This window comes from Homo sapiens, chromosome 15 (genome assembly GCF_000001405.40).
Source record: "Homo sapiens chromosome 15, GRCh38.p14 Primary Assembly".
Lineage (NCBI taxonomy): Eukaryota > Metazoa > Chordata > Mammalia > Primates > Hominidae > Homo > Homo sapiens.
In genome coordinates this window covers 45,307,348-45,328,248 of record NC_000015.10, presented here as the reverse complement: position 1 = coordinate 45,328,248, position 20,901 = coordinate 45,307,348, and the positions used below count along the sequence as shown (strand labels likewise).

At 42.7% G+C, this 20,901-nt stretch overlaps 1 protein-coding gene across 1 annotated transcript, besides 1 other annotated feature; it reads left to right on the top strand.

The window, feature by feature from the left end:
* Window positions 1,057-1,987: an enhancer, noted in NCBI's record as "NANOG hESC enhancer chr15:45618460-45619390 (GRCh37/hg19 assembly coordinates)". NCBI's record gives its function as "activates a minimal SCP1, AML or CMV promoter by ChIP-STARR-seq in primed H9 embryonic stem cells {active_cell/tissue: H9 hESC(primed)}" and the evidence as "EXISTENCE:reporter gene assay evidence [ECO:0000049][PMID:30033119]".
* Window positions 6,659-7,895, top strand: LOC107984732 (non-histone chromosomal protein HMG-17-like). Its single transcript, XM_047433406.1, has one exon. The coding sequence runs from the start codon at window positions 6,863-6,865 to the stop codon at window positions 7,133-7,135; it is 273 nt and encodes a 90-aa protein (XP_047289362.1). The 5' UTR covers window positions 6,659-6,862; the 3' UTR covers window positions 7,136-7,895.
* The last annotated feature ends 13,006 nt before the right edge of the window (window positions 7,896-20,901 follow it).

Genomic DNA, 20,901 nt, shown 5'->3' with positions numbered 1-20,901 from the left:
TTTCTTTTGTCTTTTATTTCTCTGAAAGAGTTTAGTTATTGTCTAAAGACTTAGAATCAATAGAAAGAAATATCTGGGTTAAGATAAGGGGTTGTGGAGACCAAGGCTTTATCATGTAGGTGAAGCCTCCAGGTAGCAGGCTTCAGAGAGAATAGATTGTAAATGTTTCTTATCAGACTTAAAGAGTCCATTCTATCAGTAATTCCAAAAGGGAGGAGGGTAGGATGAGGCATGTTCAACACCCATTTCCCATTATGGCCGGAATAGTTTCTCAGGTCAACTTTGGAATGCCCTTGGCCAAGAAGAGGGGTCCATTCAGATGGTTGAGGGGGCTTAGAGTTTTATTTTTGGTTTACAGTAGGTTGCCAGGCACATCCATTTAAACTGCTCTGGTACGGAAGTGATTTCTCGGCCAGGCATGGTGGCTCACGCCTGTAATCCCTGCACTTTGGGAGGCCAAGGCAGGCGGATCACAAGGTCAGGAGTTCAAGATCAGCCTGGCCAACATGGCCATCTCTGCTAAAAATACAAAACTTAGCCGGGCGTGGTGGTGCATGCCTGTAATCAGCTACTTGGGAGGCTGAGGCAGGAGAATTGCTTGAACCCAGGAGGCGGAGGTTGCAGTGAGCCGAGATTGCACCACTGCACCCCAGCCTGGGCAACAGAGTGAGACTCCATCTCAAAAAAAAAAAAAAAAAAAAAAGAAGTGAAGAAATGATTTCTTTTTTTGTTGCTATCCCTACTTTTATACCTAAATTTTGGCCAACTAATGTATACTGAAAATATAAATAGAGCATACAGGTTCCAATGATGAGTTACTTTGTTGATAAAGAAGCTTGTGGGTGAAGTGTTAGCAAAACCTTTTCTCTCCTACATGAAAATTTGACTTTTGGTTAACTTTCTACATCTTTTCCACTGGCAACCTAATAAGGACTGTGATACTGTGATATAGTAAGAAATACATATTGGGTCTTCAGGCCCCCAGTTTCTGGTACAGAGATTCTAAAATTCTGGTAACTTCCCGAGTGATAGGAGTGACAGGAGCGTCTTTTGTTAAAATCGCTGGTTTTTATCCCTGGTTCCAGGCGCAGAGCTTCTAAAAACTCTTTGAATTTTCTGAGCAATCGAGGTGACAGGAGCATCTTTTGTTATTTTCAACAAGCTCTTTTCGAGTGTACATGAATTATGTTAATTAGATGACTGGTGGCTGGAAGCCCATAGATAGCTTCAGGATGGGCACTGGTTGCCAGAGGAACCAAACATGTGATTATAGAGGATTGGAACTTTCAGCCCTACTCACCCCGAGGGAGGGAGAGAAAAGCTGGATTGAGTAAATCACCAATGGCCCATGATTTAAGCAATCACGCCTATGTAATAGAACCTCCATAAAAACCCTAAACAAAGGGCTTCAGAGAGCTTCTGAGTTGGAAAACACATCGAGCGGCTGATGAAGCCATCCCCACAGGGTTGACAAGGATTTCATGCTGAGTTCTGGGCAGAAATTTCGTTATAATTAAGCCTTAATCAGGCTGCACTTTGGCTCATTTCCTTGTTGCTGAAAGTCAATAGCACTAGATACTGCCCATTTGCACCCCCATTATTCCTATAGACAGGATCACCGCCGTTAGAATCATATGGCTTTTGTTTGAAGGTTGCCTAAGATGTTTTCAGATCCCAAACTCCAGTGAAACAGCTGAAACCAACCAGTTTGAAGACCCCCACAGAGAAATGGAATCAGCATGAGAATACAGCTTCTTCATCTTTCTGTCCCATGACTTTACCCTGCACTCTTCAACCAATCAATGATCTTCACACTTCAGCCCACTCCAAAACCCTTAAAATCTCTAGCCCCAGGCCGGGCACGGTGGCTCACGCCTGTAAACTTTGGGAGGTCCAGGTGAGTGGATCACCTGAAGTTAGGAGTTCAAGACCAGCCTGGCCAACATGGTGAAACCCCTGTCTCTACTAAAAATACAAAAATTAGCTGGGCATGGTGGCAGGAGTCTGTAATCCCAGCTACTCTGGAGGCTGAGGCGGGAGAATTGCTTGAACCTGGGAGGCAGAGGTGGCAATGAGCCGAGATGGCACCATTGCACTCCAGCCTGGGCGACACAAGCAAAACTCCATCGCAAAAAAAAAAAAAAAGCCCACAAAATCTCTAGCCCCAGATTGCTTGGGAGATGGAGTTGAGGTTTCCTCCCATCTCCTAGTTCGGAGACCCTACAATTAAACCTCTTTCTCTGCTGCACCCTGGTGTCTCTGCCTACTGACTTGCTGTGCACATGGGACAATGGATCTGCTACAGTTACACCGAGAGGGTGGGGTGCCCAGGGAGGGCACTGGAGCTCTGCACATCTCCCGTTTCACACCTTGTCCTCTGCCTGTTCATCTGTAGCCTTTATAATATCATTTATAAATAAACTGCTAAATGTCAGTATAATGATTTCCTGAGTTTTACAAGCCATTCTAGCAAATTATTGAACCTGAGGAGAGGGTTGTGGAAACCCCTAGTTTATAGCCATTAAGACAGAAGTATGGGAGGCTCAGCTTGTGATTGGCATCTGAAGTCTTGTGGGCAGTCTTGTGGGACTGGGCCCTTTCAACTGTGCCATCTGATACTAACACCAGGTAACTAGTGTCAGAATTGAATTCAATTGAATTATTGGATACCCAGTTGGTTTCTGGAGAGAAGGAGAATTTGAGGTTGGCATGGGAAAAAAAAAACACCACATATTTGGTGTCAGACATGTTCTATGGGTAAAAAATAGATCATAGTAATACAGTTCCCCCTTGAACAAGCTGGGGGTTAGAGGTGCTGACCTCCCAACACAGTTGAAAATCTAAGTATAATGTTTTACTTCCCAGGAACTTAACTACTTGATGAGAAGCTTTACCAATAACATAAACCGTTGATTAGCATATTTTATATGTTATATGTATTATATACTATATTTATACAATGAGGAAAGCTAGAAAAAAGAAAAACATTATTAAAATCATAAGGAAGAGAAAATATATCTTTATTAAGCGGAAGTAGATCATTATAAAGGTCTTCACCTCATCATCTTCGTGTTCAGTAGACTGAGGAAGAAGAGGGAGAGAAGGGGTTAGTCTTGCTGTCTCAGGGGTGGCAAAGGCAGAAAAAAGTTCATATATAAGTGGACCCATGCAGTTCAAACCTGTGTTGTTCAAGGGTCAGTTGTAGTAGGAGAAGGAGAAGGAGAAAGGAAACTATGTCACTTTTGTTGCTTGACAACCTACTTATGGTAAAATGACCCTGATTGGTAAACTGTATCTGAACTAGTTAAACTATAAATTTCTGTTAAGAGGTTTTAGTTTGAGATTCCCTGAGTACTGTGTCTCTTGTAACAAATATGTCCCTTGGAAGGACTCTAAAACTGTCTGTGAAGTTCTTATAAGACATAGTTGCTGGCCGGGCATGGTGGCTCACCCCTGTAATCCCAGCACTTTGGGAGGCTGAGATGGGAGCATCGCTTGAGGCCAGGTGTTTGAGACCAGCCTGGGCAGCATGGTGAAGCCCCATCTCTACATAAAATACAAAAATTAGCTGGGTGTGGTGGCGTATGCCTGTAGTCCCAGCTACTCGGGAGGCTGGGGTGGGAGGATCACTTGAGCCCGGGAGGTTGAGGCTGCAGGGAGCCATGATCACACCCCTACACTCCAGCCTGGGTGACAGAGCTAGACCCTGTCTTAAAAAAAAAAAAAAGAAAAAAGAAAAAAAAAAGAGAGAGAGACATAGTAGCTAATGTGAGGCATTATTATTATTATTTTTTTTTTTGAGACTGAATCTCCCTGTCACCCAGGCTGGAGTGCAGTGGCGTGATCTAGGCTTACTGCAAGCTCCGCCTCCCGGGTTTACTTACGCCATTCTCCTGCCTCAGCCTCCCGAGTAGCTGGGACTACAGGCACCTGCCACCACGCCTAGCTAAGGTTTTGTATTTTTAGTAGAGATGGGGTTTCACCGTGTTAGCCAGGATGGTCTCTATCTCCTGACCTCGTGATCCACCTGCCTGGGCCTCCCAAAGTGCTGGGATTACAGGTGTGAGCCATCGTGCCTGGCCGAGGCATTAGATTTTTAAATGGGTAGTCCCACACCCATTCAATGTGGATCTTGTCTTCTTGCATCTGAGATGTCACTTGGAAGCCAAAGAAAGTATCTTCTGGTTTAGAAATGCCAGATTTAGTGAATAAAGATACAGGTCCAGCCAGATGGGGTGACGCGTGCCTGTAGTCTATCAGTCTAGGAAAATGACAAGACAAGTCTCAATCATTTTAGGAGATTTATTTGCCAAAGTTAAGGACAGGCCCGGGAGACAGGTCTATGCCTTTTTCTGAAGATGATTTTGACGGCTCTAAATTTAAAGGGGAAAGGGCGGGATATTGAGAAGCACACAGTTTTCACATAAACGAAAGGGGCAGAGGAAAAATGTGGGGAATCTGCATTTTACATAAGATAACACAGACAAAACGGGGTAGGGGAATAATCAGATATGCATTTGTGTCTGACGGGCTGGGTGACTGCACCTGTAAAGATAAGCTATCAATTTGCATTGCCATGGTGAAGTTTTAACAGCTCACCAGAAATTTCCTTGTGGACAAAATGTAGGGGAGGCGTGTAGCTTTTCATCTTGTAGCCATCTTATTTAGGAACAAAAAGAGGCAAGCAGGTTTGTGTGACCCAGTTCCCAGCTTCGCTTTTCCCTTTGGCTAAATGAGTTTGGGGTCCCCAAATTTAATTTCCCTTCACAAGTTCCAGCTAGTCTGGAGGCTGAGATAGGAGGATCACTTGCGCCCAGGAGTTTGAAGTTGCAGTGAGCTATGTTCAAACCTGTGAATAGCCACTGCACTCCAGCCTGGGCAACATAGTCACTGTCTCTCAATAAATAAATAAATAACACAGGTCCCATGCAATACCTGGAACATACACTGAAAAAAATATTTGGCTAAGTGCTGTGGCTCAAATTGTAATCCCAATACTTCGAGGGGCCAAGGTGGGAAGATTGTTTGAGGCCAGGAATTCAAGACCAGCCAACATAGCAAGATCCCATCTCCAAAAAATTTTTAAAAAATTAACTGGGTGTGGTGGTGCACACCTGTATTACAAGTTACTCGGAAGGCTGAAGTGGGAGAATTGCTTGAACCCAGCAGTTCGAGGCAGCAGTGAGCCATGATCCTGCCACTGCATTCCAGCCTGAGCAATTGAGCAAGACCCTGTCTCTCTTTCTCTGTCTCTCTCCCACCCCATATAACACACACACACACACACACACACACACACACACACACACACTATAAATATGTATATGGCATTCATATACCTGTAGCCCCAGCTACTTGAGAGGGAGTGTGTAGTGTGTGTGTGTGTGTGTGTGTGTGTGTGTGTGTATATGTACTCCCTATAGTTCTATATATATAGGGAGCATATATATAGGAAGTATAGATATTATAGGGAGTGTATATATATACTATATACTCCCTCCCAAGTAGCTGGGATTACATGTATATAAATATTATATACATATATATAGTGTGTATATGTATGTTATATGGGGTGGGGGAGAGAGAGAGAAAGAGATACAGAGAGAAAGAGAGTATATATATACATATGTACACTGTATAGTATATATATATAGTCTATATATTTTATTTAAAATTCAAACTGAACTGGACATCCGTATTGTACTTGACAACTCTGCTGGATGGCTATGTGGACAGCTACACGGAAAGCTGCTAGGACTACTGTCTTGGCTGAGCCACAGCTGACACTGCCTTCTGGCAAGCTGTGGTTCCTATTCTATATCCTTCTAAGAGAACCTGATGCCAAGTGAAGCCTATGGTAGTGAAGAAGTTAAGAATATGCCAGCCCCAAATATGCCATTTTGGCATATTGATTATTCTGAGCTAAAGGCAACTGAGAACCCACTGACTCCAGGAAAGCTCTTTACCTCCGCCTCAACTATCCAAAATAAAGTCTAAATTTCCCCTTTTGTAAAGGAAATTTACATTTATAAAGGAAATTTTCATTAGTAAAAATGTCTATACAAGAAAGAGAGCTACTCTCTGTACCTGAGAGACTTATCTGCATAAGGCAAACTTTATTTACCACACATTTCCTCCTCTCCCTTTCCCATGATTTGCCTCACTCTCAACAGAAGTCTCTAAACCCCTATTTCTTTCTGTAGCTCAGGATGATATGTAAGTCTCAATCATCTGGCTGCTTCCTTGAGTTTCATATTTTTGTGAAACTCCGATGAATATGTATGTAATTAAAACTGTTTTTCTCCTGTTAATCTGCCTCTCAATTTAATTCTCAGGCAGTCACAGAGTCTGGAAGGGTAGAAGGAAGCATTTTTTCTCCCTTACAATTGTCTTGTGAATATAATTGTTTAGTCGAAATTAAGAAGACCGTCAGGCCAGGCCCAGTGGCTTACGCCTGTAATCTCAACACTTTAGGAGGCTGAGGTGGGCGGATTACATGAGGTCAGAAGTTCAAAACCAGCCTGGCCAACATGGTAAAATCCCATTTCTACTAAAAAAATACAAATTAGCTGAGCATGGTGGTGCATGCCTGTAGTCCCAGCTACTGGGGAGGCTGAGGCAGGAGAATCGCTCAAACCCAGGAGGCGGAGGTTGCAGTGAGCTGAGATCACACCACTATACTCCAGCCTGGGCAACAAAGTGAGACTCCATCTCAAAAGCAAAAAGCATTAATTATAGGAGCACTGTGAAGAAGAAGAGGTGAGAACGACCCCCTAGGCTGACCAAAGCCCGTGTGCCACCGTATCCCCATGCATTGCTGCATCCCTGCAGCCAGCACCTGTGTGCAGCCACCATTGCCACCATGCCCAAGAGAAAGGCTGAAGGGGATGCTAAAGAAGATAAGGCCAAGATAAAGGACAAACTACAGGGAAGATCCACAAAGTTGTCTGGAAAGCCTGCTCTGCCAAAGCCACAGCTGAAGCCTAAAAAGGCCCCTACAAAAAAGGGAGAGAAAGTATCCAAAGGGGAAAAAGGAAGAGCCAACTCTGACAAAGAGGTGAATAAACCTGCAGAAAATGGAGATGCCAGAACGGAGAAGGCACAGAAAGCTGAAGGTGCTGGAGATGCCAAGTGAAGTGTATGCATTTTTGATAAATCTGTACTTCTGGTGACTGTACAGTTTGAAATACTGTTACATCCCAATGGATTATTCTTGCCTGCTGCACAGAAAAGCCCATATGCTGAAACAGCAGTGTTGCAGTAGGGAAAGAGTTCAATTATTGCAAGGCAGCTGAGTGGGCAGACAGGAAACATTTCTCAAATCCATCTCCCTGAAAGCTTGGAAGCTAGGGTTTTTAAGGATAATTTGGCAGGCAGGGGTTAGGGAATGAGTGCTGCTGATTAGTTGAAGATGTAATCACAGGTGTGTCCAAAACAGTCTTTATTTGTTGAGTCAGTCTCTGAGTGGGGAGTCACAGGACTGGTTCAGTTAGTTCCTTGGTATGAGTCATGGGTCCAGGTGGACTCAGTTAGTTGCCAGAATGCAAAAGTCTGAAAAACATCTCAAAGACCAATTTCGGGTTCCACGATAGTAAATTATCTATAGGAGTAACTGAGGAAGTTACAGATCTTGTGATCTCTAGCTTCATCACCTCTGAACTGGAAAGAATTATAGAAAAACCAAGCTAGGGAACAACAGCTGGTTATTGTTTAACTATGCCCACATTTTAGCAGAATTCAGGTCCTCCCCATAATCTTAACCTTGTGGCCTTTCATTAGCCTTACAAAGGCAGTTTAACTCCCCAGATGGGGTCAGTTTGGAGAGGGACTATTATTATCCTTGCTTCAAAGTTAAACTATAGGCTGGCTGGGTGGAGTAGTTCATGTCTGTAATCCCAGAACTTTGGGAGATCGAGGTGGGTAGATCACTTAAGCCCAGGAGTTCAAGACCAGCCTAGACAACATAGTGAGACCCCATCTCTACAAAAAATTTAAAAATTAGCTGGGTGTGTTGGCACATGCCTGAGTCTCAGCTACTTGGGAGACTGAGGTGGGAGGATCACTTGAGCCCAGGAACTTGAGGCTGCAGTGAGCTGTGATGGCGCCACTGCACTCCAGACTGGGTGACAGAATGAGACTCTGTTTAAACAACAACAACAACAACAAAGCAAAACAAAACTATAAACTAAATTCCTCCCATAGTTAGCTTGGCCTATGTCCAGGAATGAGCAAAGGCAGTTAGCATGTGAGGTTAGAAGCAAGTTGGAGTCAGGTGAGATTTCTCTCACTGTTACAATTTTTGCAAAGGAAGTTTCAATGCTATTTTTTTATTGTTTTATAAAAATGCAGAATCCTATTTTACTTTTTTTAAAGTTATGTTGTTAGTACACAGAACGCTTTTTTTTTGTGGGTGGGAGGGGCATATGTCACTAATAGAATGTCTCTGAATCTGGATTGATTGACGTTGGGAAAACACCTTTCCCTTCTAGTTTTGAGAGACTTCCTCTCAGCTCCTAGGAGAAGGGATTTATTGATGTTGACACACATAGCCACCGTAGCACAAACACCCTGGAGGTGTGGTAAAACCAAAATTAACTTTTATGTCCTTTTCTCTCTTTCTGCCTTCAGCATTGACTTAACTCCTTTAAACGCAGACACCTGTTGGGACCTGACCTCCAATAGTTGGTTACCAGTGTGTCAGGCAATCTGGACTTTCCAGCGATGCCACTGAGATGGTCTCCGTTGAAAAAGTGGCAGTTCCATTTGTAGATTGTGAATCTTCAGATAAATTCTGCCATTGTAATTTCATTTCCTGAAAGTCAGGGTCTCCTTGTAAAAATGTGTTAAACAACATGCTAAACGTGGAGTGCCAACCGTCGCTTGAAACTTTCCCTACTCAGAACATCAGATAAAGATTTCAATAGGTTTTTTTTATACGTATATACTTTAAGTTCTAGGGTTCATGTGCACAACATGCAGGTTTGTTACCTAGGTATACATGTGCCATGTTGGTTTGCTGCACCCATCAACTCATCGTTCACATTAGGTATTTCTCCTAATGCTATCCCTCCCCCAGCCCCCCAGCCCCCAACAGGCCCCGGTGTCTGATGTTCTCTGCCCTGTGTCCAAGTGTTCTCATTGTTCAATTCCCACCTATGAGTGAGAACATGCGGTATTTGGTTTTCTGTCCTTGTGATAGTTTGCTGAGAATGATGGTTTCCAGCTTCATCCATGTCCCCACAAAGGACATGAACTCATCTTTTTTTATGGCAGTATAGTATTCCATGGTATATATGTGCCACATTTCCTTAATCCAGTCTATCATTGATGGACATTTGGGTTGGTGCCAAGTATTTGCTATGGTGAATAATGCTGTAATAAACATATGTGTGCATGTGTCTTTATAGTGGAATGATTTATAATCCTTTGGGTATATACCCAGTAATGGGATGGCTGGGTCAAACGGTGTTTCTAGTTCTAGATCCTTGAGGAATCGCCACACTGTCTTCCACAATGGTTGACCTAATTTACACTCCCACCAACAGTGTAAAAATATTCCTATTTCTCCACATCCCTCTCCAGCATCTGTTGTTTCCTGACTTTTTAGTGATTGCCATTCTAACTGGCATGAGATGGTATCTCATTTTGGTTTTGATTTGCATTTCTCTGATGACCAGTGATGATGAGTATTTTTTCATGTGTGTGTTGGCTGCATAAATGTCTTCTTTTGAGAAGTGTCTGTTCATATCCCTTGCCCACTTTTTGATGGGGTTGTTTGTATTTTTCTTGTAAATTTGATTAAGTTCTTTGTAGATTCTTGATATTAGCCCTTTGTCAGATGGGTAGATTGCAAAAATTTTCTCCCATTCTGTAGGTTGCCTGTTCACTCTGATGGTAGTTTCTTTTGCCCCGCAGAAGCTCTTTAGTTTAATTAGATCCCATTTGTCTATTTTGGCTTTTGTTGCCATTGCTTTTGGTGTTTTAGTCAGATTTCATTGGTTTTTATACTGGCTTTCTGATTTTGATGGTCCACGGAAGGAGGAAGTTTGAACGTTGTTGTATACTGTTAACAACTGTCTGCCCATGTCCTGCCTGGACTATCATAATTGTTTATGAAGAGTATCTTTAATAAAGCTGGATGCAGTTTGACTTAGGAAAAAATATTAATTATAAGAGCAAACACTGGAAACAACTAAAGGAAAATGGCTAAGCTAATTACAATGTAATATTTAAATATTATTTAATTAAATAAGTTACATTAAAAAGATAATCATTAATTTTAAAAAGCACTAATGTAATGTTTATATAATATTAAGTGAAAAAGGGCAGAAACAGTATATACATTTTACATATGTATATATCAACTACATTAAAAATACACAAAGAAAAAAGTCTGGAAAGAAATAACATAATTCATCAATTCTAAAGATGCATTTTCCACCATCACACACATTCTCTAAAATTGGGTCACATCGTACACCAATGCATTAAATGTAGTGTCCTTTTTTTCTAAAAAGCTATTGGAATATTTGAATTTCCATTAATGTATTACTTTATTTTTTTTAATGTCAATGAGCTTATCTGGGTAGTGAGATTATGGGTCATTTTGTGTTCTTCTTTGTTCTTTACTATATATTTTTTAAAACTGTATTTTAAATTTTTTAGGAGATTGTCATGGGAAACCCTAGGCAAATTTCTGTTATTAACATGTAATGATTTGTTTTCATTTTCTTTTAGTAGGACAAGGGAGCTAACAAATAATGATTATTAAGAAATTTTTGATAGGATTTGTGTGATCCTTCCCAGACTCCGTGTGTTTGTACTACAATATGGAAAGAGTATGTGCAATGTTTGCAGAACACATGTAAGAAGTCACACTCTTCTTCGTTAATGCTTACTTGCTATTTAATGATTCCGTTAGAAAACTGAGATGGAGGTCAGGTGCAGTGGCTCACACCTGTAATCCCAGCACTTTGGGAGGCCAAGGTGGGCGGATCACTTGAGGTCAGGAATTTGAGACCAGCTTGGCCAACATGGCAAAACCCCACCTCTACTTTCCATTTCATTTCATTTGAAAGCCTAGTCCAGAGACAGGAGATTCTCTTTATTTTTGGCAAGGTTCTAAATGGCTAAGTGATGAAAGGAAAAGGGAATCCTAGTACACTGTTGGTAGAAATGTACATTGGTACAGCCATTATGAAAAACAGTATGGAGGTTCCTAAAGAAATTAAAAATAAGGCCAGGCATGGTGGCTCATGCCTGCAATCCCAGCACCTTGGGAAGCTAAAGCTGGCTGATTGCTTGAGTCCAGGAGTTTGAGACCAGCCTAGGCAACATGCAAAACCCCGTCTCTACTAAAAATACAAAAAATTAGCCAAGCATGGTGGTGCGTGCCTGTACTCACAGCTACTCAGGAGGCTGAGGTAGGAGAATCACCTGAGCCCCAGAGGTTGAGGCTGCAGTGAGCCAAGATTGCGCCACTGCACTCCATCCTGGGCAGCCAAAGTGAGACCCTGTCTCAAAAAACAAAACTACCATACAACCTAGCAATCCCTCTTCTGGGTTACATTCCCAAAGAAGATGAATTCACCATCTCATAAAGATATCCGCACTCGCATGCTCATTCACAATAGCCAAGATATGGAAACATCTAACTGTCATCAAGAGATAAATGGAAAAAGAAACTGTATATATATAAAATGCAATACTATTCAGCCACTGAAAAGGAGATCCTGTCATTTGCCACAACATGGACGGACTTCAGAGGACATTATGTAAGTGAAATAAGCCAGATACAGAAAGAAAAATATTGCCTGATCTCATTTATATGTAGAATCTTTTTTCTTAAAGTCAAATATATAGAGATAGAGAGTAAAACAGTGGTTACAAGGCGTTGCGGCGGAGGAGAAGAAATGGGAACACATAAGTCAAAGGTTACAAAGTAGCAGGTGTGTAGGATGAACAAGTCTAGTGATCTAATGTGCAGCATAAGGACTAAATAAAATTGTATTCTATTAGGAATTTTTGTTAAATAAGCAGATTTTAGCTGCACTTATTGCACACAAAAAAGTAACTATGTGAGATTATAGACACGTTGATCTGCTTCACAATAGTAACCATTTTCCTATCCATGTGTATCCCATAATATTGTTATAAACCTCAAAATACACAATAAAATTTTTATGGCTAGGGCCAGGTGTGGTGGCTCACAACTGTAATCCCAGCACTTTGGGAGGCCAAGGCGGGTGGATCACCTGAGGTCAGGAGTTCAAGACCTGCCTGGCCAACATGGTGAAACCCTGTCTCTACTAAAAATACAAAATTAGCCAGCCATAGTGGCAGGCAACTGTAACCCCAGCTACTTTGGACGCAGAGGCAGGAGAAGTCCTTGAACCTGGGAGGTGGAGGTTGCAGTGAGCTGAGATGCACCACTGCACTCCAGCCTGGGTGACAGAGGGAGACTCCGTCTAAAAATAAAATAAAATAAAATAAAAAATAAAATAAAATTAAATAAAATAAATGGCTAGGTGATTATAATACCACTTATTTATTAATCTTTTCCATATTGATTTAAAATGATGCCTGAGTAATATACAAATCTCTCATATATACATTCTTAGACGCTCAATACTGCTCCCTTGAAGTATAGGTTTCTGCATAATATACCAAACTGTTTTAATCATTGTAACTTTGTGATTAAATATCTAATTAGGTCAGTGTATTGGTTATCTATTGCTGCATAACAAATTACCCCCCAAATTCAGCATCTTAAATCAACATTTATTATCTCACACAATTTTTGAGGGCCAGGAATCTAGGAGCAGCTTAGCTGGGTGGTCCTGATTCAGGGTTTCTTATGGAGTTGCAGTTAACGTGTTGGTAGGGGCTGCAGGCACTTCAAAGCTTGACTGGGGCTGAAAGATTCACTCCTAACTCATTCCTGTTGCTGTTGGCAGGCATCAGTTCCTCATCTGATGTTGGCCAGAGGTTTTGATTCCTTGCCTTGTAGACCTCTCCATAAGGGCTGCTCACATCATGGCAGCTTGCTTCCTCCAGACCGAGAGTGTGTCCGGAATTGGCAAGTTCTTGGTCTCACTGACTTTAAGAATGAAAGTGCGGACCCTAGCGGTGAGTGTTACAGTTCTTAAAGGCGGCGTGTCCAGAGTTTGTTCCTTCTGATGTTCGGATGTGTTCGGGCTTCTGGTGGGTTCCCGGTTTCGCTGGCTCAGGAGTGAAGCTGCAGACCTTCGCGGTGAGTGTTACAGCTCATAAACGCAGTGTGGACCCAAAAAGTGAGCAGCAGCAAGATTTATTGCAAAGAGCGAAAGAACAAAGCTTCCACAGAGTGGAAGAGGACCCTACCCAATTGCCACTGGGGCTCGGGCAGCCTGCTTTTATTCTCTTATCTGGCCCCACCCACATCCTGCTGATTGCTAGAGCCCAGTGGTCTGTTTTGACAGGGCGCTGATTGGTGCCTTTACAATCCCTGAGCTAGACAGAAAGGTTCTCCACATCCCCACCAGAGTAGCTAGATACGGAGTGTCCATTGGTGCATTCACAAACCCTGAGCTAGACACACGGTGCTGATTGGTGTGTTTACAAACCTTGAGCTGGATACAGAGTGCCGATTGGTGTATTTACAATCCCTGAGCTAGACATAAAGGTTCTCCATGTCCCCACCAGACTCAGGAGCCCAGCTGGCTTCACCCAGTGGATCCCGCATGGGGGCTGCAGGTGGAGCTGGCTGCCAGTCCCGCGCCGCGCCATGCCCCTGCACTCCTCAGCCCTTGGGTGGTTGATGGGACTGGGCGCCGTGGAGCAGGGGGCGGCGCTCATTGGGGAGGCTCGGGGGGCACAGGAGCCCATGGAGGGGGTGGGAGGCTCAGGCATGGCGGGCTGCAGGTCCCTAGCCCTGCCCGGCAGGAAGGCAGCTAAGGCCCGGCGAGAAATCGAGCGCAGCGCTGGTGGGCTAGCACTGCTGGGGGACCCAGCACACCCTCCGCAGCCGCTGGCCCGGGTGCTAAGCCCCTCATTGCCCGGGGCCGGCAGGGCCGGCCGGCGGCTCCGAGTGCAGGGCCGGCTAAGCCCATGCCCACCCGGAACTCCAGCTGGCCCGCAAGCGCCGCTCGCAGCCCCGGTTCCTGCTCGCGCCTCTCCCAGCACACCTCCCTGCAAGCTGAGGGAGCCGGCTCCGGCCTTGGCCAGCCCAGAAAGGGGCTCCCACAGTGCAGCGGTGGGCTGAAGGGCTCTTCAAGTGCCGCCAAAGTGGGAGCCCAGGCAGAGGAGGCGCCGAGAGTGAGGGAGGGCTGTGAGGACTGCCAGCACGCTGTCACCTCTCAAGAGGACAAAGAGAGACACAGATTGGGAGAGAGAGAGAATGCACATGTCCAAGACAAAAACCACAGTCTTTTTTAACTTAACCCACAGTCTTTTTTAACTTAACCCCAGAAGTGATGTTCCATTACTTCTATCTTATGCTGTTGGTCACACAGACCAACCCTGGTTTAATAGAGTTGCCAGATTTAACAAATAACAGAGTATTCCCAGTTAAATTTGATTTTCAAATAAGCCATAAATTATTTAGTACAAGTATATTTCATGCATATAAACATATTTGGGACATACTTATACCAAAATACTATAAATTGTTTAACTGAAATTTAAATTTAACTGGGCATCTTATATTTTATCTGGCAACCCTACTACCCTGGTACAATATAGGAGGGGATACTCCAGGGTGTAAAAACCAGGAGGCAGAGATCATTTAGGGCCATGCTGGAGGCTGGCTCTATTTAAGGGTTAGTCATCCCTTACCACTATTTAAATTTTTTTTGCAGTCAATTTCATGTAACTACTCTTCCAGTTGGACTAAAAATCAAGTCAAGTTACAAAAAAAATTTAATTATAGTTTTTGTTGGGATTTCATTGAATCCATAGATTAATATAGAAAAAAATGGATATAAAATGCAATTTTCTGATCAATCCTTTTATTTTATTTATAAAGAAAAGAGGTTTAATTAGCTCTTGGTTCTGCAGGCTGTACAGGAAGCATAGCTGGGGAAGCCTCAGGAAACTTACACTCATGGTAGAAGGTGAAAGGGAAGCAAGGCACAACTTACATGGCTGGAGCATGAAGAAGAGAGTAAAGGGAGAGCTGCTACACACTTTTATTTTATTTTTTACTTCTTTATTTTTAAATTTTACTTTAAGTTCTGGGATACATGTGCAGAACGTGCAGGTTTGTTGCATAGGCACACATGTCCCATGGTGGTTTGCTGTACCTATCAACTTGTCATCTAGGTTTTAAGCCTCGTATGCATCAGGTATTTGTCTTAATGCTCTCTCTCCCCTTGCTCCCCACACCCCAACAGGCTGCAGTGTGTGATGTTCCCCTCCCTGTGTCCATGTGGTCTCATTCTTCAGCTCTCACTTATGAGTGAGAACATACAGTGTTTTGTTTTGTTTTCTGTTCCTGTGTTCATTTGCTGAGAATGATGGCTTCCAGCTTCATCCATGTCCCTGCAAAGGACATGAACCCATTCTTTTTTATGGTTGCATAGTATTCCATGGTGTATATGTGCCATATTTTCTGTAGGCAGTCTATTACTGATGGGCATTTGGGTTGGTTCCAAGATTTTGCCATTGTAAATAGTGCTGCAGTAAACATATGTGTGCATGTGTCTTTATAGTAGAATGATTTATAATCCTTTGGGTATATACCCAGTAATGGGATTGCTGGGTCAAATGGTATTTCTGGTTCTAGATCCTTGAGGAATCGCCACACTGTCTTCCACAATGGTTGAACTAATTTACACTCCCACCAACACTGTAAAAGTGTTCCATTTCTCCACATCCCTCTCCAGCATCTGTTGTTTCCTGACTTTTTAGTGATCACCATTCTAACTGGCGTGAGATGGTATCTCGTTGTGATTTTGATTTGTAGTTCTCTAATGACTAGTGATGATGAGCTTTTTTTCATATGTTTGTTGGCCGCATAAATGTCTTCTTTTGAGAAGTGTCTGTTCATATCCTTTGCCTACTTTTTGATGGGTTGTTTTTTTCTTGTGTAGATTCTGGATATTAGACCTTTGTCAGATGAGTAGATTGCAAATATTTTCTCCCATTCTGTAAGTTGCCTGTTCACTCTGATGATAGTTTCTTTTGCTGTGCAGAAGTGCTTTAGCTTAATTAGACCTCATTTGTCAATTTTGGCTTTTGTTGCAATTGATTTTGGTGCTACACACTTTTAAACAACCAGATCTCATGAGAACTCACTCACTATCACAAGAACAGCAAGGGTGATGCCCATCCCCATGATCCAGTCACCTCCCACCAGGTCCCCCCTCCAACACTGGGGATTACAATTTGACATGAGATCAATCCTTTTATGTCCTCTATTAAGTTTTATATTTTTATTCATCTAGGTCCTGCTTACTTCCTGTTAGGGTTTGTTGTTGTTGTTTTGATTTGTGATCAAAAAAATTTTACTTGTGATATTTTTGAACTGGTTGTGGTTGAAATATAAGAATACTATTAATTTTTATGTATTGTTTGCAATGACTGCCTTAGTGAATGCTCCTATTACTTCTTTTTTTTTTTTTAATAGAGATAGAGTCTTGCTCTGTCACCCAGGCTGGAGTGCAGTGGTGTGATCTCAGCTCACTGTAACCTCCACCTCCTGGGTTTGAGCGATTCTTCTGCCTCAGCCTCCCGAGTAGCTGGGATTACAGGTGCCTGCCACCACACCCGGCTCTTTTTTTTTTTTTTTTTTTTTTGTATTTTTAGTAGAGACGGGGTTTCACCGTGTTAGCTAGGATGGTCTCAATCTCCTGACCTTGTGATCCACCTGCCTCGGCCTCCCAAAGGGCTGGGATTACAGGCGTGAGCCACTGCGCCTGGCCTATTTCTAATAACTTTTAAGTTGATGCCCTTAGGCTTCCCAGGTATATATGATAATGTCATTTGCAAATAATGACAATTTTACCACGTCCTTTTCAATGTTTAAACCTCATATTTTGGTTTTTTAACTGACTATACTATCAAACAATTATAATTTTTATGAAAAAAGCTTGGACTAAGACAAAATCTTTTGAACTGGGGAAAATAGTATATAGGAAAACTATTTTACACATTTTATTATTTAGATTGAGGCTTAAATGTGGTATGATATTTCCAAACTACACCTCCAAAAGCTAAGAACCAAAACTTTCACTTAAAAAGCTTTCCAGAATTGTAGTTTGTTTAAATATTCCATATCTGCATTGCTTTGAAAGAACTTGAAACAAAGTCTGAATTCCAGGTGCAGCCTGACTTTTTTCTTATCATTTCAGATAAAAGTTCAAAGGGAACTTTTCAGAGGGCTTCAGACATATCATTATCCCAAAGAGTTTATTAAATAAAGAGCTTTGGATCAGGAAAACAAGAACCCCAAGTTATATAAGGGTGAGTCTTCTGCGAATCTAGAGGACAGGCCACCAGCACAAAAACAACATTACCCCAGCTTTCAGAGGAATGCTGCAGCCTTCGCCAGGCATTGGCTCCTGTCCTTTAACAACAGTTTGTTAACACTTTCTTGAGCAGTGGGAGTGGCAGGTTTTTCACAAGGGAGACTGGGGTAGCAATCTGGAGGGAAGGGGAAGCTAGAGGACTTGTCTCAAGGCTACTTCTGCGTAGTAAATAATGTGTGTTCTAAATATGCTTTTTTTTTTTTTTTTTGAAACAGGGTCTCACTCTGTTGCCCAGGCTGGAGTGCAGTGGTGCATTCTTAGTTCACTGCAGCTTCCTCCTCCCAGGTTCAAGCAATTTTTCTGCCTCAGCTTCCAGAGTAGCTGGGCCCACAGATGCATGCCACCACACCCGTGGGGCTTTTTGTTTGTTCGTTTGTTGTATTTTTCGTAGAGACAGGGTTTTGCCATGTTGGCCAGGCTGGTCTCAAACTCCTGGCCTCAAGTCATCCGCCCACCTCTGCCTCTCAAAGTGCTGAGATTACAGGCGTGAGCCACTGCGCCCGACCAAAAATATGCTTCTGTCTATAATTACAAACTTTTGTTTATGTATTAATTATGATTCTGGAGGGGGGTTGCGGAGTTTATGAAAATTGGTGGCCGGCGGGGGGGAGATAAGGCTCTCCCAGGCCATTCCTTCCCCTTGCCAGTGCTGTAAAGAACTGTTCTAAATTGATGGAGAGAAGATTTCGAGTGCTATCACAATACACACATGCAAACACACACACACACAAAGGTAACATGAGGAGATGGATATGTTAATTTGCTTGACTGTAGTAATCGTTTCACTGTGTTTATGTATATACTACTTAAAATATACACTTTTTATTACAAAAAAAAGAGACAAAAATAAGTCGTATGGAAATATAAAGTTTAAAAAGATACAATTCTTGCCCTCAAAATAGCATATAGTCGAAACAAAAGGGTAGGGCACAAAGAGAGGGCAAAGCATGAATCAAAGAAAAAGACTGAGGTAACTGCTGATTATGGGCACAGTACATAACCAACTGTTCCACCTTGAGGTTACAAATGAAAACATCAATGTTGAGGGCTAAGTTGGTTTTAAATTCTGACTTAACACGGTGTTGATGGTGGCAAAAGACCTCCATGGAAGGGGGTGTAGGAAGAAGGAAGGAGAAGTGTCTTTTTCCTAGCACCCCCGGAAATGAGGTCCTAAGCCCTGTTGAGTCCAGAGAGGCACCTCGTCCCATCACACAGCTAATTATGTAGCAGCTCTTCGGGAAGAGGGGTTTCAAATCCTCCAGAGAGTTCAACACAGGTCTGGAGACTGAAAACAACCCAGGTGGAGCAGCTTCATTCAGCACTTACTGTGTAAATATGTTATTAAGCACTATATTGGGGATAAAATAGGACAAATATGTTCTCTATCTTCAGAGATATTGTTTGCAATGGAAGAAGTTTTCCTCTCTGCCACCTCACAATCACACTCAGGATCTTACCTGTGCATAATCATTCAGAAGGATCCACCAAAACAACTGGGCTTGCATTTTCCAGAAGCTTCTTGTCCTCGAGACTGTGTGCTCCTTATGAATAGAGTGCAAACAAATGCGACAAAAAATGTAGAAGATGCTCAGCCCATTATTATTATTATTATTTTTTCTAAAGATAGGGCATCACTGCAGCCCAGGCTGGAGTGTAGTGGTGCAAACATGGCTCACTGCAGCCTCGACCTCTAGGGCTCAAGCAATCCTCCCACCTCCCAGCCTCCTGAGTAGCTGAGACCACAGGTGTGTGCCACCATGCCTGGCTAATTTTATAATTTTCTGTAGAGATGGGGTCTCCCTGTGATGCTCAGGCTGGTCTCAAACTCCTGGCCTCAAGCAATCCCTCCACCTTGGCCTCCCAAAGTGGTAAGATTACAGGCATGAGCCTGGACAGTTCTCTTTAACTCTCAAATGCCCACATCAGAAAAGACAGTACAAATGTAAGCTGATTTTCCTATTTCTCTTTAGGGGCACTGTGTTAACAACAGTTTCTAACTTAATGAATGCCAATTGTGAGCCAATTTAAACCAAATAAACCAGGCCAAGTCATTCTATTACACAGTAGATCAGAGCAAAACCCATTCTAGCCTGGACCAGTGGCATCCAAACAATAACCTAAATGCCTGGGGAGAAAGGCCAATTTAATTAACATTCCACCCTGAACTCTTTTTTTTTTTTTTTTTGAGACGGAGTCTCACTGTATCAGCCAGGATGGAGTGCAGTGGTGTAACCTCAGCTTACTGCAACCTCTGCCTCCTGGGTTCAAGCAATTCTCCTACCTCAGCCTCCTGAGTAGCTGGGGCTACAGGTGAGTGCCACCATGCCTGGCTACTTTTTTGTATATTTAGTAGAGACAGGGTTTCACCATGTTGGCCAGGCTGGGTCTTGAACTCCTGACCTCAGGTGATCCGCCCGCCTCGGCCTCCCAAAGTGCTGGGATTACAGGTGTGAGCCATAGCGTCAGGCCCCTGAACTCTTGATTCTATCCACCATCCCCTCCTCCAAAACCTCTTCCTCCCCAAGCCTTCTCCACCTCAGAAAATGGCAACCCCATCATCCAGCCAGTTGCTTCATCCAGAGACTGGGGAGTCATCTTTAATGCATCTACTTTCTAACTTCCCAGATCTAGTGACCACATCCTGTCAATTCTACCTCCAATTTCTCTTGAATTCATCTACTTCTCTTTCCTCTGGCATCACCCTGATCCAAGTCATCTTCATCTCCCTCTAAGAAAACTGCAATGGCTTCCTAGCTGATCTGCTTACTTCCACTCTTACAGGAATCCATCAGATTCTTCAGAGACCTAATAGGTCTCTTTTTCTCCACATACCTAGCTCATCATAGCACTCATCGCAATTTATTTAAATATATATGTATGTATGTATGTATGTATGTATATAGCTACATATATTTGTTTATATATGTGTGTGTGTATACGTTTATGGAATGTTGCTCTCCTCAGAATTTAATCTCCATGAAGACAAAGTCCATGTCTGATTTTCTTTCACTGAAGTATTATTCCTAGTGCCTAACACAGTACCCAGCATATAGTCAGCATCAATAAAACTTGTTGGAAGAATGAAAGAATGAATGAACGAATGCTTTGTGGAATCCCTGCATGACAGAAGTCCTTCTGTTCACAATAGACAACTGCAGTCCAGAGCCCATTCTCTTAAAAGTCTTTCTTTTAACCTCAAAGCCACATGAGTCAATTCCTCAAAGAGAATGCACTTACTCCTCCAGGCTGATTATACAGTGACCTTCCAGCAGAGCCATTTAGGAAGAAAAGAGTCAGATCTCTGATGGAGCCAGACTAGATGGAGAGAAGCCAAATGAGAATTCCCTTTCTAATGCGTTGGAAAGATCTGAAGAAGAAAATGAAACAAAAATCT

What these genes read in the sequence shown, in the direction of transcription:
- LOC107984732 (XM_047433406.1), top strand. Translation starts at nt 6,863, where the DNA reads ATGCCCAAGAGAAAGGCTGAAGGGGATGCTAAAGAAGATAAGGCCAAG.